The following is a 14,437-nucleotide window of genomic DNA, read 5'->3' as shown; positions in this document are numbered from 1 at the left end:
GGAAATTTAATTCATCATTCCCAGGTAGGAAATGTATCTGAATTCCTCTCGAAATTTTAATTTCTTAAAAATGTTTGTCTCTCAGTAGTTTAAATGTGAGTACCCACGTGCACATCTATTTCTATTTAACATGCTTCGATTTCAGTGGTCTTGGATCTGCAGTTTGGCTTTATTTAACAAAACAAAGGAATATTTCGTCACTTTTCCTCAAAGCATATATATTTTTTTCTGCTTCATTCCTGTACCTCTTCAACTTGCACTCTACATAAACATATGTTAAATGACCAGATATTTTTTCTACTCTAGCTAGGCCAGAACCCCACAGTCTTTGAACACTGTAAGACCTCTGGTATTTTTGTTCTTCATTTAACCTCACATTCATGCTCTGCTGGGCCTTGATGAGTCTTGTGCACATGTGCAGCCTAGCCCTTTAACAATGACCTATTTCGAACTCCCACATTGACTTCTGTCCTCGTTCTGTGCATAGCTCCTCCATCTTCAGTGCCCTACCAGGTAAATCACAGCTGCATTAACAGCCCCCAAATTTCCATCTCTGTCTCATCAGTGCAGTTACACCGTCATGATCTGCTTGGTTTCAAACTCCCCGCCACAGGAGAATTTTCGCCACCCATAGGGCCTGGGCAAACATGAGGCTCTCACCCTGACAATACCTTATGTCTATGAGAAACTCTCATACACTGTTTGTGGGAGGAGAAATTGGAGTTAGGACTCTGGCAAAGTTTTGGCAGGTTCTATTAAGCTGAATATGAACATTCAGTATGACAGTAATTCTCTCTGTCATATAATCATCCTAAAAGTTAACATGTGCCAAAAGGCATATAGAAACGCTAATTCCTAATAGCCCAAACTGGACACAACCTAGAAATTAAATCACCATCTCTAAAAATGGGTAAAATATGGTATATCACACAATGTAATACCATGCAGCAATGAATATGAACAAACTTCTGTATACAACTTAGATAAATCTCATGGCCATATCGTTGAGCAAAGAAATTCACACATACAAAAATAATAATTGTCTGGAACTATTCATGTGAGTTTCCAAAACAGGTGTGTTGTTACAAAGAGTTGTGTTTTGAAATCAGACTCACATGAGTGGCAGCTCTTACACCACATTTTATTTGTGATTTAGGTAATAGAGGCAAACATCCAGTCAAAATATAAAACATTATATTTTTTGAGGTCATGAAAGCATCAGAAACAGCCCCTCCTTGTGCTGTTTTTCTTCCACATCAGGATGTGATTTTGTTTTACAATAAAAGATGAGTTGTGTTGAGTAATGTGTGTGAAAATATTATTTTAAAAAGGGAGTCATTTAATTTTTTGGCTCATCCCATTTTACAGTGTTAATTACACAGTCTCCATTAATTGCACTATATTTTATTCTTCAGCCAGTGAATCTGTATAGATCCATAACTTCCAGGGTTGTTTATAATAAACAACCTAGACAGAAAAAGTACATCCTGGTAAAATAGTAATATCTATTAGCAGGTTTACAAAGAGTTATTATGTCAGCACCTTTACTAGAAAGTCATTAACTTTTTCAGGCATTTCTGTTAGAGAATAGTTACAAGCCTGCTCTTATTCCTTTCCTTCACAAGAGGAAAAGTCAGTTTAAGTTGTTAGGAGTCAGAGCTGTGGTTAACTATAAAGAAAAGGAGAGACATAATGATGGGAGATAGCAAAAAGGATTTATTTCTTTTATTCTTCTGGAAATCTGACTTTCTCCATCCAAGTGTTATTTATACAGCTATGTTCTTTTTGGCTAACTATACGGATCTGGTCAGTTGGTAGTTTTTCACTTTTCTCCATTTGTATTATGCTTTGAAGGATAAATAAAGACGACATATAGTTACAATAAATATAACCTAAAAAAATCAAGGGAATGATCAACACCAAAATTTTGGGGTGTGTGTGTGTGTGTGTGTGTGTGTGTGTGTGTGTGTATGTGTGTGTGTTTGCGTATGTGTTTCTAGGAGGAAGCAGAGTGATATAATTGGGAAAGTGCATACATGTGTCCCCTAAGGCCTTGGTCATATTATCTTTCTGGTGGAAATATATTTTTTTTCATTAATATTATTTATATTTCAAATATATAACAAACATATATTTCTAATAAAATAATTCAAAAACTTCAAAGTGTAGTTTTCAATTAAAATTATTTCCTCTATGTAAGGCAAAGGATACTTCATTTGAATGACAATAGAAGGAAAGCCAAGTAAAAAGAATGAGTTAGAATAAAATAATAGTCAAAAATATTCCAACTAAAATTATTATTTTATTATTCCAATTTAAAAAATTTTAAGCTGGGCACGGTGGCATGCACCTATCATCCCACCTACTTGGGTGGCTGAGGCAGAAGGAGCACTTGAGTCTTGGAGTTCGAGGCAGCAGTGACCTCAGATGCACTCATGTATAACCAATACTCTCCAGCCTGGGTGACATAGGCAGAGTTCATCTCTAAAAAAATTAAATTGAATTAAAATTAAAATACTACAGTAACCAAAAAGATCTGAATTGTATACAAATTAAAATTATTTAAGCATATTCCTAAAGAAAATTTCAAAATGGTTTGTTCTGGATACTTGGCGACTTGAACCTAATGTTGACCTAGATGAGAAATTACATGAAAACTGGCAAGATCTATTAATATAAAATAGTAAGATGAAAGCTGTGTTACCTATAGCAAACTATTTTATTTTTATGGTAGTTATACAATATACAATAACATCTGCTTTTAGAAAACATTTTCTGTCTACAATAATTTATATCGCTTTATTTCTTAAAGAACATTAAAAAATATGTATATTTATATATCTGGTCATAGATTTTTGTAAAGAGTATGAAATGATACTAGATCTTCGAAACTTTATTTAAAATTCCTTAGAAGAGTTTTAAGTTACATATCCTTTACAGAGTACTTCCACGTTTAGGATTGGACAGATACTCAGAGAAGGGCATAAAGGTGTAGGTACAAAAAAGGGAATAGAGAAATTGTCAAATAACTTATTATATGTCCATACTATGATTACTGTTCAGCTGTTGCAATCAGTCAGTTATGCCTATGTTTATTTACAGAAAACATCTCCAAGGCATATTGCTAAAGAAAGAAAAGCACATTGTGATTTCATTTCCATCAGTCATGTGCACAAATATATGCATATATTATGCATATTAACATATATTTATGTCCATATACTAACTTTACTGCTAATCGTGTTTACATCTGAGAATGAAATATGTATCTGCACTTTTTCAAAACTTTACAATGAGCACACTCTGCATTTTCAACTACTTAAAGAAAAATTGTAGAAATATCTACATGACGGCCTATGACTAATGATTGTTTTGGACATCTGCTCTTTGCTTTTTGTTCTTATTTTTTAAAATAGTACAGAACAGGATGAAAAGTTATACTTGAAGAAAGGATAATTAGAAAACAGACAGAAAAGACACAATATAAGCACAATATAAGCAAGTTATGTGGAGATAATTTATTTGTGAACCACTTTAAAAAACTGACCTCTATTTAGTCAGTGAAATTATTATACAAGGGGTCATAAGTAAAATTGCTACAAGGAATGACCTTTTATTGTTCAACTAGAGTTAAATGTAACATGTATTATGAAGTTTGTCTTATATTAAGTGCACCTGTTCCCATATTAGAAAAATTGACAATAATAATCAGTGTTGTAGTGACTCGTTTCATGTGTATATGAATACCCTTACAACTATAATTTTATCCTGTAGATTTGTTATGCCCTTTCTCATGATGTGTATAAAAACCTTATGAAGGATTGCCATTTTCAGAAAAATGTGTATGTTAATTAACTAGATTTAGTCATTTCACAATACATATTTCAAAACATGATGTTATACATGGTAAATACATCCAATTTTGTCTTTCAATTAAAAACATGAAGTAGGCCAGGCACGGTGGCTCATGCCTGTAATCTCAGCACTTTGGGAGACTGAGGCAGGCAGATCGCCTGAGGTTAGGAGTTCGAGACCAGCCTGGCCAACATGGTGAAACCCTGTATCTACTAAAAATACAAAAATTAGCCAGGTGTGCTGGTGCATGCCTGTAGTCTCAGCTATTCAGGAGGCTGAGGCAGGAGCATCTCTTGAACCCAGGAGACGGAGGTTGCAGTGAGCCAAGATCATGCCACTGCACTCCAGCCTGGATGACAGAGGGCGACTCCATCTCAAAAAAACAAAAACAAAACAAAACAAAACAAAAAACAACACCATGAAGTAATAGAAAAGAAAAAAGAAAAATGCGTTTATGTTTAACTATGTAACAGGACCATCATCAATGGCAGAGAACCACTTAAGTACCATCAAAATTAGTGAATGGTGTATATTCATTGATCGACATATTGCTAAAGAAAAAAAAGCACTTTGTAATTGCATATATTGAAAATGAAGCATGTAGTGTATAAGAAAAAACAGCTTCCAGAAGCAATTTCTTAAAGTACAATGTTCAATTTGTGTGTGATTACATCTCAGAGAAATCATAACAATATTTGTGATATGGACGAGATTAGAGCCCAGTTATAGCATATAATTCAAGTTTGAGGAAATGATTCTGATAATTTTGAATGTGTTTGCCTCCCATTTAAAAAATTAACGCTTGTTGATAAATGGTATATTGAATATGGAAATAGGATAGTGCAATGCTCAGGACTAGGTTATAGAAGGATGATTCTTCGGTTCGATTCTGCTATTCTCCTTATAAACTTGGGAAAATCTCTTTGCTTCTATGACCTTAGTGTCTTTTTTCCAAACATGCAAAGTAAAACCAAAGTACATCCATTCCTTTTACCACATATAGGGCAAAATCCTGCACATAATTTCCAGTATTCCATAAAAAGGCTAACGTTTAAATGTGCAGTGAATTATACATCCCACCTTCTGTATAAGCATGCCATTTTGAAGTCTTCATAAAAATGATAATTCTCCCTGTGGTTTAAAAGATTAATTCTTGAGGCCAGGTGCAGTGGCTCACGCCTGTAATCCCAGCACTTTGGAAGGCAGAGGCGAGTGCATCACGAGGTCAAGAGATTGAGGTCATCCTAGCCAACATGGTGAAACCCCGTCTCTACTAAAAATACAAAAATTAGCTGGGTGTGGTGGCGCACACCTGTAGTCCCAGCTACTCGGGAGGCTGAGGCAGGAGAATCACTTGAACCCGGGAGGCAGAGGTTGCGGTGAGGCAAGATCATGCCACTGCACTCCAGCCTGATGACAGAGCGAGACTCCGTCTCAGAAAAAAAAAAAAAAATTCATTCTTGAATAATAGAGTGTTCGAAAATTCAGTAGATGATCTCAGATGTTAAAATACAAAGTGTAGCTGTCACAAGTCATCAACCTGTCTTTAATTTCCTGATAGAATATCAACACCAAGGTACTGTATAATTCATGCACCAACTCTAGTGGCAGGAAATCACAATGTTCCAAATTGCCCTAATCTTTCACCAATAGGTCTTTTTTCATTCTATCTGACTGAAATCGAACTTTCTGTTAATTCTCTCCATTTGTCCAACTTTTAAATTTAATGATTTATAGAATATGCTGAATTACTGCTGGGATTTGACTTGGGTTCGTGTTGAATGAGATTACATATGCTTCAAAGTGGGAAGAATTGATCACCTTAAAAAAACTACATCTTCCATTTAATAAACATTGTTCACCATTCAATTGTTAATATCTCGATTTAATTCATCTGAATAATTTTCTATAGTTTGGTATGTAAATATATTGCTCAGCTTTCATTAAAATTTTACCTAAGATTTTGATAATCTTGGTGTTGTTGTAAACGGTATCTTTAATTAATTTAATCTTCTAATTGTTGCAGGAATTTGGAAATACAGTTACAGTTTATTTTTATATTAACCATATATCCAGTAATTGCTAAATTAATTAATTCTAACATATAATATATACACTGATGTTAGTCTAGAAATATAAACATTCAGTATGTGAATAATGGCAGTTAATTTCTTCCTTTCCCATCTGTATGTCTTTTTTTTCTTGTATTATTGCATACATAAATGTTGAATAGAACTGGTGATAGTAGGAATCTTTTTCTCATTCCTGATCTCAGGGAAAGATTTGAATATTTCACCACTGATTATGATATTAGCTACAATTTTAGGATTTTTTTCTAATATTAAGTGGGTGATATGTTAGTTTTTGCACTTATAATCACAATATTATTATATATTTCTATGTTTTACTGAACTTTTGTGATTTCAAAGTGTTTATTGCAACAAGAATTCACTCTGGGATAAAACCTAATTTATTTATAGTGTATCAGATTTAATGTAACTTTGGATTCAGTTTGTTAAACTTTTTTTTTCATTTGTTCATGAGATGTGTGTGTGTGTATATATATATATATATATATATATATATATATATATATATATATATAACCTTTTCATGTGATATCTTTGTCAGTTTGGTGTAAAGTTTATACAGAACTCTTTGCTTGTTTGTTTGTTTGTTTGTTTTTGAGATGGAGTCTCCCTCTGTCGTCCTGGCTGGAGTGCAGTGGCGCAATCTCGGCTCACTGCAACCTCCGCCTCCCATGTTCAAGCAATTCTCCTGCCTCAGTCTCCTGAGTAGCTGGTACTACAGGTGTGCACCACCATGCCCGGCTAATTTTTGTATTTTTAGTAGAGGCAGGGTTTCACCATATTGATCACGCTGGTCTCAAACTCCTGACCTCAGGTTATCCCCTCACCTCGACCTCCCAAAGTGCTGGGATTACAGGTGTGAGCCACCGCACCTGGCCCAGAACTCTTAAATCATTTAGAGGAGTTGCCTACTGCTTTTATTTTCTGCTACTTTTGTATAAGATCGATGTAATTTATTTCTCAGTTGTAGGGGAAAATTCACCAATTCGATCACCAGAGCATAGGACTCACTTATAGGGAATTTTTCATTATAGATGTAATTTACTTAATGAGACTATGCAAATTTTCTCAGTTTTATTTTTCATTAAGTTGGGTTTATTCAGAGTTCTACATTTTACATAATTTCAAATTTATTAACATATAATCACTTATATTTTGTCTCTGTTTCCAGATTCTGTAATTATGACATATGTAAATATTGTGTTTCTTCCATTCCTGATGAATAGATCCTTTAATGATAATGAAATGTTCTTCTTTATTTCTAGTTACTTTCCTTTCCTGGACATCTACTTTGTTTGGCATTAATGTACACATTCCAGTTTTCTTATGCTTAATTTTACATTGCACATTATTTTTTATACTATTACTTTCAACCTTACTGTGTCTTTCAATTTAAATTGCGTCTCATATAAACAGCAAATAATTGAGACTTGCTTCTTTTCTAGTCTCAAAATGTATGCATTTTAGTTGGAATGTTTAAGCTTTTAAAAACTAATGTTTTTATTAATATAGTTTGATTTCAACTTGACAGTGTTGCCATTTATTTTCTATTTTTTCATCTCTTTTTATTTCTCTATTTCTCCTTTCATGGCTACATTTGTGTTTATTTAATATTTTTAATTCAATTTAATTTTCTCCTTTAAATTTTTGTTTATTGCAAATTATAAACATGCCCACACATTTTTTACACCCTCTGCCTTCGAGAGATAGGGTTTATGGCCACACATGGATTCTGGACCAAGCTTAGTGACCCTTTCATACCCAACCTAACGCAGCAGTTGTGTGATGCTATAGGTAAATTGCTAGGCTAAAATTCCAGCCGACTGCCATTAGCAACTGCTACCAGCAGAGGGCGCCACCTTATCCCTCGAGCCTCGTGCTCTTCTCGAATTTTCTTCCTTCTCAATTTTCATCTCGTGAGTGTAGCAACATGAATTATAGCTTGTCAAGCAATACATTTTCTCAGGTTTGTTTGCCTGGCTAATCAGTTTGTAAAGATAATTTTGCTGGATATAGAATCTGGGTTAATAGTTTTAATTTTTCTTTCAGCGTTGAGAAGATTCTGCTCCATTTTTTCTGATTATGGATTCTGTTCAGAAGGAAGCCGAATTTTAAGTCATCGTTCTAGGATAGGTAATATATCTTTATTTCTCAGAAGTTTTCAGTTGGTATGCATTTGTTCACTTCACTGATTTTTTTTTTTGTATTTCATATAGATATCTAATATGTAGGTTAATAATAAAATAGTTTTAAAAGTCCAATGCCTATATGGTCAATCTAAATATTTCATTTCTGTAAATAAAAATATAATTTACTTGATTGACAGCAACAGCAAAAGCAAAAGAAAATCATGGGATAAATGTCTAATTTTTATTAAAATGTATACATATCTACGAATTATATCCAAAATAATATAATTTAAACACATTCCCAAGAAAAATATAAAAATCGTTTTTATAATTGCTCATTTGTTGTTAATGTTGGCATGCATGAGAAAATGTGTGAGAAGAAATTAAAACTATAAAGAATAATGAAGTGACATTTGTATGATCTATAGCAAAATTATTGCTTTGGCAAATTATATTGCATATCTGGAATGATTTATGTAAATATAATACATATAGGAATCGATTCAGTAACTGGCAATATATGGAACATATGTGAAAGTAAACAGTATATGCACAGGTTTGATATATAAAATTTTTAGTATATTAAATAAATTATAAACTAACAAGTGAAATATTAAAATTCATCATTTTACATAAAGTAAGCATACATTTTCATTAATGCTATTAACTATGCATAATAATGCAAATTAAATAAAAAATTATCCTTTATCTTGATACCAGATTATTGAGGGAGTATAATATAGTACTGGGTTTTTGGAAATTAATTTAGCATTAACAAAGTAGTTTTTCACCTGCTTTCTAAAATAATAATTTGCCTTTTAAGACTGTATCCAGTACAGCCACTAACAAGCATAAATGTGTGGTTACAAAATTGGCAAAAGAGCTACTTTTCAATAAATTACATTGTTTTCATTCTGTGGATATTATGTAGCTATGCAACCAATCTAATAGATCTTATATACTTCCAGATGATATTTCCACAATATATTGCTGGTAAAAAGTAAAGCAAATTATAATTTCACATGTGCGCATATGTATATACATATATTATGTAAATGCCAATTTATGTGAATATCTGTTCTTAGACACACTTTACTGATATCATGGTTACTTCCGAGAGGATATATTCATGTGCATTTTTTGAAAATTTTACACCAAGCATAAGATAAATTTTTACATAGCGCAAGGAAATTAAAGAAGTAGTCACATAGTGGCATGTGATTGTTTTCTAGTGATTGTTTTCTAAACAACTGTAGTTTTTTTTTTCCTGTTTTTTACTTTTAAGGTAATATACAAACAGTTAAGAAATCATGCTAAAAGAACTAGAAAACAGTGGAAAAGAATAAGAAAAAATATATAAGCAAATTTTGTAGAGAAAATACTTGTGACTTACTTTAAAGAAGCTAATCTCTATTTAGTCAGTGAGATGATTAGACTAAGGACCATAGGAAAAATTACACAAAGAATGCCCTTTTTATTGTTTCATTTGGATTAAATGTCAAGTTTCTTATAAAGTTTGGTTTATATTTTGGAGTCTCTGTATTAGAAAAAAGTAGCAATATTCAGGGTTATAATGACTGCTAAATATATAGAAAAAGCCTTAAAAATATAACCTTGTCCAGTGGGGTTTTTGTGTCATTTCTTATGATGTGTATGAACGGTTTATTAAGAATTGCTATTCTTAGAAAAAAAAGTGTTTGTTTAAATGTATGTTACCTATCAATCTTGAAATATTTACTTATTAGTTGTAATACATTGCTTACAGATTGCTTTTAGATACTCTGGAAGCATAATTATGCAGTCTGTATATAGACATGGGGTACAGTTTATGGGTTTCAATATTTATGTCTTTTTCTTTTTTTTGTATTGTTGCCCTGAACCAAATTTTCCCTAAAATGCTGAATAGAATTGGTGACAGTAGACATCCTTGTCTCTTTTTTCACCTGAGGGAGAAGTTCTTCAGTTTTTCACCACTGATTATATATGCTGCAGTTTTTATTTTTTATTTTTTTTAAATCTCTTAAGTGGCTAATTATGTGAAATGACTTTCTGTAATTGCTGTTGTAATGGCATAGTTTCATTTCTTTGTCAAGATTGTTTGATTTGAAAACAAAGCAACAAGAATCCATTCTTGTGTTAAAGCCAATTTGTTCAAGGTTAATTATAATTGAAGTATCTTTAGATTCTGTTTGTCAAATATAAAATGTTACTTTTATTTAGTTTTTTGTGTTTGTCATTAGGCATACAAACCTTTGGTTTTCCTTTTATATAATGTCCTTATTAGTTTGGTATCAAGTTTATAGAGGTCTTATAAAGCATTTTGGGCAGAGTTTTTACTGTTTCTCTCCTGTGTAAAGTGGTTGTCCAATATTGGTGTTATTTAATTCTCAATTACATGAGAAACATCAGGAATTTAGGCACCAACAAATAATTTATTTGTTGGAAGGTTTTTCTTATAAAGATACAGCTTTTGATTAGATATAAAATCGTTGAGATTTCCTGGTTTAACTATTTTGCTATATTTTTGTTTCTCTCATTTCATGAATTTCAAGTTTATTGGCATAAATTTGCTTATAACATAATGTATGTATCTCCAGTATCCTAGGGATGGTTCCGTCTACATTCCTGCTATTGATAATATATGTCTTTTTTAAATTCCTTTGATCAGTCTTGCCAGGGACGTATTACATTTTTTCCTTTCAAACAACAGAATTCTTCAATTGCTATTTAATTTTTTTTAGATTTCATTAACTGATGTTAATTTTAATTTTTCATGTTTAAAATTTTGATTTCATTTTCTGATTTATATTTTAATTTCATGCAGTGTATTCTCAAATCTTCAATATTCAGGATTTTATCCTTGGCATTAATGCTCTAAATTTTCCTTTAGTCACATATTTTGGCATGTAGTACACAGTTTTTAACAGCTTAGATGAAGTATAATTGATTTCAAATAGGCTACACAATATATATATATTTGTGTGTATGTGTGCGTGCGTGTGTGTGCGTGTGTGTGTGTGTGTGAGAGAGAGAGAGAGAGGAACCATCTCTACACTTAAGATTATGAACATATTTATCCTTCTCTCCAGCTTTCCTTGTGCACTTTTGGATTTCCCCCTCTTAATTTTGCCCGAGCTCTCCCCACTTTCCCATACCGTGGACGTTCTTTATTGCTAGTAACTTCAACTTTCATTTTAGATAGGAGGTACATGTGCAGGTTTGTTACATGGGAATATTGTGTGATGCTGAGGCTTAGAGTACAGGTCTCATCACATAGGTAGCAACCATAGTACTGGATAGATATTTTTTAAACTCACCCCTGTTTCTCCCTCCACCTGCTAGTAGTCTTCAGTGTCTATTGTTCCCATATTGATGTCCATGTGTGCTCAACTACACACACACAAACACACACACAAATATATATTAAATTGTGCAGTTCATCTGACATCAATTATACCTCAATTAAGCTGTTACAAACTATGTGCTATGTACCAAAACATGTATCTAAAGGAAAATTTAGAGCATTAATGTCAAAGATAAAATCCTGAAAATTTAAGATTTGAGAATACACTTTTTTGAAATTATAAAATAAAAAGTTAAAATCAAAATCAAATGTTTAGCTCCCACTGACACATGAGAACATACAGTATTTGATTTTCTGTGTTTATTCACTTGGAATTATGGCCTCCAGTTCCATTCATGTTGCTGCAAATGATATTATTTCATTATATTTTATGTCTGCATAGTATTTTATGGTGGACCTGTACCACATTTTCTTTATCCAGTCTACCATTGATGGGCACCTGGGTTGATTCCATGTCTTTGCTATTGTGAATAGTGCAGCGATGAAAATGTGAGTGCATGTCTTTTTTGGTAGAATGATTTATTTTCCTTTGAGTATATAGCCCGTAATAGGAATACTGGGTTGAATAGTAGCTCTGTTTTCAGTTCTTTGAGAAATCTCCAGACTGCTTTCCACAATGGCTGGACTAATTTACATTCCCACCAACAGTGTAAAAGTGTTTTCTTTTCTCCACAACCTGGCCAGCATCTGTTGTTTTTTTGACTTTTTAATAATAGACATTCTGACTTGTGTGATACATTATCTCATTGTGGTTTTTATTTGCATTTCTCTGATAATTAGTGATGTTGAGCAATTTTTCATGTGTTTGTTGGCTGTCATATGTCTTCTTTTGAGAAGTATCTCTTCATGTCTTTTGCCCATTTTTTAATGTGGTTATTTGTGTTTTGCTTGTTGATTTGTTTAAATCCCCTCTAGATTCTGGATATTAGACATTTGTTGCATGCATAGTTTATGAATATCTTCTCTCATTCTGTAGGTTACCTGCTTTGTTGATAGTTTCTTTTGCTGTGCAGAAGCTCTTTGGTTTAATTAGGTTTCACTTGTCTATTTTCGCTTTTACCGCAATTGCTTTTGGGGACTTAGCCAAAAATTCTTTGCCAAGGCTGATGTCGAGAAGAGTATTTCCTTGGTTGTCTTCCAGGATTTTTATAGTTTGAGGTCTTACATTTAAATCTTTAATCCATTTTGAGTTAATTTTTGTATGTAATGAAAGGTAGGGGTCCAGCTTCCATCTTCTGCATATGGCCAGCCACTTATTCCAGCACCATTTATTGAATGCCCATTGCTTCATTGCTTGTTTTTGTTGGACTTGTCAAAGATCAGATGGTTGTAGGTGTATGGCTTACATTTCTGAGTTTTCTGTTCTATTCCATTGGTCTGGTGTCTGTTTTTGTACCAGTACCAAGCTGTTTTGGTTTCCTTAGCTTTATAGTATAGATCCAAAAAAGAGCCCCAATAGTCAAAGCAATTCTAACCAAAAGGAAAAAAGCCAGAATCATCACACTACCCAACTTAAAACTATACTATGGACATTCTTGTATGAGTCTTTTTGTGAATGTATAATTTCATTTTTCTTGGATAAAGTTCAAGGAGTGGAATGGCTGTATCATGAGAGAAGTGTACTTTAAAGTTGTTTTAGAATAAATCAATATGTTTTGCAACGTAATTATACCGTTTTACATCCTACCAATATTATGAGAGTCACAGTTGCTTTACATACTTGCCAGCACTTGTTTTAGTCAGTATATTTAATTGTAGCTCTTCTAATAGGTGTGCAGTGATACCTCACTGTTGCTCTAAATTGTGTGATATACACAAGTCATCAATCTTTCCTTGCTATTTATTCCCAGTAAGTGGAGAAAATGGATTACAAGCCTGTTGTTAATCTTTTCTTTCCCATTTATGCTTTTGCCTATATGGTTATTTTTATTGTATGCTGGATTTTGTGTATGAAATACCATAGACATAATTGGAAGTTTTGAAAAATTTTTCCTTTTTAGCGAGCATTTGCTTTTGCTTCTAAGAGACAGTTAGCATGTGGGCAGCTGTCAGCAATCAGGGATATTCCTTTTGAAGCTGCATCTCAGGTTTTGTGAGATGTTTTCTATTTCTGGCTCATATCAGCATTTAGGGCATAGCCTCTCAGGGATGCCACATGAACCCCTGGGTTGTCTTCCTGTTTCTTTCTCCTTGGTGCACTGTGTCCCCTGAGTTTTTGAGACTACTAAAATACCTGCTCAGCTGCATAGTGTCTAAACTACAGCTTTGTGGTTAGTATCTTGGCTTCTCAATCACCTCCTTTGAGTTAGCATATATTTTGAGGGGAAAAGAGGTACCAAATTTGGGTTTCATCCCTTGGGCTTCTCTTTTGAGAACTCGTCTCATCAGGTGGTTGCTTCCTTGGGTTAGTAGTGCTTTTGAAGAATGTCTTTAATATCTTCCAGCTTTCCTAGTTTTTCTCAGAGGAATGGTTTATCTGACAGCTTCTCAGTCATTCCTGAAAACTGCTCCATATATTCTCCTTTTTGAAATAAGTTTAATTGTTTTTCCTTTTATGCCTAATTAACCCAATCTTTATATCAATAAGATTAAAATTTTTCTTAAAAGACAAATAATTTTCTGAAGAGTTTATCTTTTCTGTCTCTCTCTCTCTTTTTGTTTTTTTGAGACAGAATCTTGCTCTGTTGCCCAGGCTGGAGTGCAGTGACACGATCTCGGCTCACTGCAACCTCCCTCTCCTGGGTTCAAGCAATTCTCCTGTCTTTATTTGCTTAATGTTAGATTTTTTTCATTGATTGCCTAAGTGTTTCCCGAGTTCCCAACATGTGCCAGATATGGATTTCATGGTAGAGGTACATTACTGAGGCACAGCCCAGTGGAAAACAAACAAGTCAATATGTAATATATTATAGAATATAAATTTTGTGGTAATTTTAAAAGCTACGTTAATAACCAAAATGTTACCTATTACTTTTTTCGTTATTTATTTACTTATTTAT

The 14,437-nt window shown here is 33.1% G+C and overlaps 1 long non-coding RNA gene across 1 annotated transcript in view; it reads left to right on the top strand.

Moving 5' to 3' along the window:
- LOC105373150 (uncharacterized) overlaps positions 1-14,437 on the top strand; it is a 246,359-nt gene that overhangs the window by 54,505 nt on the left and 177,417 nt on the right. The window contains exon 3 of the long non-coding RNA NR_188591.1: positions 7,995-8,078. This is a non-coding gene — a long non-coding RNA (uncharacterized LOC105373150). The remainder of the gene's footprint in view (positions 1-7,994; positions 8,079-14,437) is intronic.

This window comes from Homo sapiens, chromosome X, assembly GCF_000001405.40.
Source record: "Homo sapiens chromosome X, GRCh38.p14 Primary Assembly".
Lineage (NCBI taxonomy): Eukaryota > Metazoa > Chordata > Mammalia > Primates > Hominidae > Homo > Homo sapiens.
Note: the sequence above shows the minus strand (reverse complement) of the source record. Positions and strands in the feature narration are given on the sequence as shown.